The 3,861-nt window shown below is 36.8% G+C and overlaps 1 annotated feature.

Annotated features, from left to right (window-relative positions):
• Positions 1,084-1,929: an enhancer, noted in NCBI's record as "NANOG hESC enhancer chr3:147680118-147680963 (GRCh37/hg19 assembly coordinates)". NCBI's record gives its function as "activates a minimal SCP1, AML or CMV promoter by ChIP-STARR-seq in naive H9 embryonic stem cells {active_cell/tissue: H9 hESC(naive)}" and the evidence as "EXISTENCE:reporter gene assay evidence [ECO:0000049][PMID:30033119]".

Here is a 3,861-nt window from a genome sequence, read left to right on the forward strand (position 1 = left end):
TAAAAAGTCTTCTTAATATCGGAGTGAACATTTGTCTTTATTTCAAAAGTTTATTGCCTGAAAATGTGGCCTGAGTGATTTCTGAATCTGGAGTTTTCATTGAGATTTTCATTGTACAAAGATAACATGATCCTTTTATGGAATGCCCATGGTTACTAAAAACTTTTATGTAACAGGATGTTACATTGAAACTCTTTCTATGTCAGGTTTGGCTGAGGTCACAAAAAATTAATGGCAAGCATTTTCACATTCCACTGTAAGGAGCTATACCAAGTTAGACAACTTTTTGCAAAGAAAATCCTAAAAAATCACTTTTGCAAACACCTTGCACATGTAAATTGCAGACCTAGACTTCAGCCAGAGATAAATTAATAAACCGAGAGAAAGAGGCCTTTTCTGGAAAGAATTACTGACGGACATTAAATACTACCCACCCCTCTGTGTCAGAATGAGGTATCCATTAAATTCACTTCAAGTATCTTATGGAAAAGACTTTACTGAGAACAGTCAGAGAGATTGATATGTGTCCCCTAGAGTATCAGACACACTGTTGAGAAATTTAAAAATGTAAACTGTACGAAGCTCCTATGGCATCAGAGTAGAGGGCTATAGTAAGAGCATTCCCACTGACAGTGGGCCAAAGATGTGCATTTCCCAGTGTTAAGGCTACATTGGTGGGTAGTGGTCTAAGCTTCACATTCACTCCACTGATTCTGTCACATGTGAAAGCTGATCAAAGGCAAGCTTTCCAAACTACTTGCACTTCGTATAGGATTATAAACTGAAAAAGAGATTACACGTAAGATTACCCAGTCAGTCCCAACTACATGTTCTTATTAATATACCTACTACACACATATTATTTGGGGTAGTAGTGATAAAGTTCCTTTAAAGGGATGCTTCCCTTCCCAGCAGCAGCATAAATCTTCATTGTAGATGGAGTCCAGTACAATGACTATTGTCAGAACCAGGTCTGTAGTGTCTAGTCAGATTCCTCAAGTGTTAGAACAGAAGAAAAGCTGGGACCCTGCAGTGGGAGAAAGTGCCTTTGAACTATGAATCTTAAGGCTTTCCTTATCTATAGCAAGAAACCCCTTTTCTGTGATTGATTCTCTGGGTGTATGATTCTTTTTTGAACATTTACTATGATTGGCTATGCGTAAATTAACTAATCCTAAAGTTTTAATCCCAGATAATATTAGCACACAGACACACAGATGTTGATTCTGCTGTCCCACTCATATTATCAAAGGTTTCATAGATTTGCAAAGTAAACAAGCCTCATTCATTGATGCAAACGAAATACTGTGGCCATAATTGGGGTTTAGCATCACAATTCATGTACTTATACTCTTTAAGCTGAGTGACTAGGTGTTACCCATAGGAAGAGATCAGCAGGGGTCATTTTAGAAACAGCTCAAGATGGCTATCTGGGGTGAGGGGAAGGCGACCTCTGTGAAAAGAGGAAAAAGGCATATCTGGACCTGAGTTACCAACAACAGGATATTTTTTTAAATGCCTCAAGGGAACCAATTTTTAGCTGTCTCCAAAGGAACCTATATACTCTTCAAAGAAAGAATAAGTTTTAACATCTGCCATAGCTTTAATTATATCAGCATCAATCAACAAAGCCTTTTTGTCCCTCCCTTTCCCTTCCTTCCCTGCTGTGGCATTGGAAGAGCCCAGTGAGTAGGAGGGAGAAGCAATAGACTCATAAGCAGGGAAAGTATTGCAGAAGTCACCTATGCTCCCCTCCTTTCCTTCCCACTGAAGGCTTCCTATCAAGACGGGAAATAGGCTGCCTGGAGTGAGGCTGAAACTCTAATGTAGAATAAGGCTCAGAGTTTCAACTATCGGATGGAGCTGGATATTTTAGCTACTGAATTAGGTGTGCATTGTGAGTCAACGTGATTGAAGAATTTGTTTAGTTTCTTAAAGTGATTATAAAAATCGTAGATTTCACCCAAGGAGAGGGAAAGAGTAGCTCCACAGTGTATTGATTTGGGGTGGAAGTAGCTGATTTCGAATTGTAACCTGTAAGTCTTATTTGTTTAATGATTGCCTTGTATATGATCAGGTTTTTTGTTTTGTTATTTAAATTATCTGTATCAGAGGTTAGCAAAGTACAGTGACAGGCCAAATATCATCTATCACCTGTAGCTATAAACTAAGTTTTATTGAAACACAGCTAAATCATATATATATATACTTTTTTTTTTTTGAGACAGAGTCTCACTATGTCACCCAGGCTGGAGTGCAGTGGTGCGATCTCAGCTCACTGCAACCTCTGCCTCCTGGGTTCAAGCGATTCTCCTGCCTCAGCCGCCCAAGTAGCTGGGACTACAGGCACGTGCCACCACACCTGGCTAGTTTTTGTATTTTTAGTAGAGACGGGGTTTCGCCATGTTGTCCAGGCTGGTATTGAACTCCTGACCTCAGGTGATCTGCCCGCCTGGGCCTCCCAAAGTGCTGGGCCTACATCATATTGTTAATGGTTGCTTTCACATTACAGTAGCAGGGTTCACTTGTGTGACAGAGACACATGGCCTTCAAGTCTAAAATATTTCTTATCTGGCTCTTTGCAGAAAAAGTTTGCTACCTTTGACTTACATCTTTCCTAACTTTTACTCACTTAATCACTTTCTAAAAGGCTTGCGTAAGTGTCTACCACTGTGAAATTCTCAATTGGTGAATGAAACACTCAACTGGTATTTATATCAGCTTTTACTTTAAAAGTTTCTAAAGCCATGTGGCAGTTTTATGACTGCTGTATCTTCTTATTGGCCTATAATGTTATCAGCATCCATTATCCCTTCTCCCCTTTTAATGTACTTCACCTTGAATTCTCTTTTGTCCATTCTCAGTATTGATATATCTGCTTTCTTTGAGTTACCATTTACCTAATACTTAATCATCATTACTTAATTTTCAGTCTTTCTACAACATCACTTTTATGGTACTTATCTTTAAATAAAAGATAACTGTATTTTTTTTTCAAACCTTTGACTTGGGGAATTTAATCCATTTATGTTTTGTGAATTCTAAAATGCATGAATATTTCCTTTCCATATTACTTTGTTTATCACTGATACTCTTCTGCTCTGTTACTGTGCTGTTCTTATCTGCTTTTAATTTGATTCATCAAGATTACTTGTTACTGGTTTTCTTTTTCCATTTATGGGTTGAAGTTACAAATTGTGTTTCTCCCTGCCTAGTGTATATCCTTTAAATCTTAACATACATATTCCAACTTATTTTTCAGTTGTTATGAAGGTTTAGCCATATCAATTTACTCTCTACGATAGACGGGAACCTTGCCCAACTCTCTTCATTTTTCTTACCTGTCACCACTGCCCTGTTGCAATAAGGGAAAATTATAAGTAATATTATGAGCATATTATTTTTAGAGTGTCATCAATTATTTAGATTCAGTTATTCATTTTATAGAATTATTTTTCTCTACTCTGTCTTGTTTCTTACATTTTTCCTTTTTGAGACTATTGCTTTGCTAATGTACATACTCCACTTTTTTCAGAAAGTGGTAATGGAAATAAACCTTTGCATATATGAAAATATTTATTTTAATCTCTTACTTGAAGGCTTCCCCTTCTCAACCATGTTTCTTTAAACCTGCTAGCTATTCTGTAAATAACCTGCTAAACTTTCTTTAGTGAAAAAGTGTGTTGATTGTTTTCTGTCAAGATCCTGAATGTGACAGATTTTATATCTTGAAAACCGAAGAAGCTACAATGCAAGCCATCTGCCATTATCATTTTAATAAATGTAAAAAAGGCTATGTGTATATACACATATATACACACAAATTATATATATATATATATATATATATGAAATATACCG

This window comes from Homo sapiens, chromosome 3 (genome assembly GCF_000001405.40).
Source record: "Homo sapiens chromosome 3, GRCh38.p14 Primary Assembly".
Taxonomy (NCBI): Eukaryota; Metazoa; Chordata; class Mammalia; order Primates; family Hominidae; genus Homo; species Homo sapiens.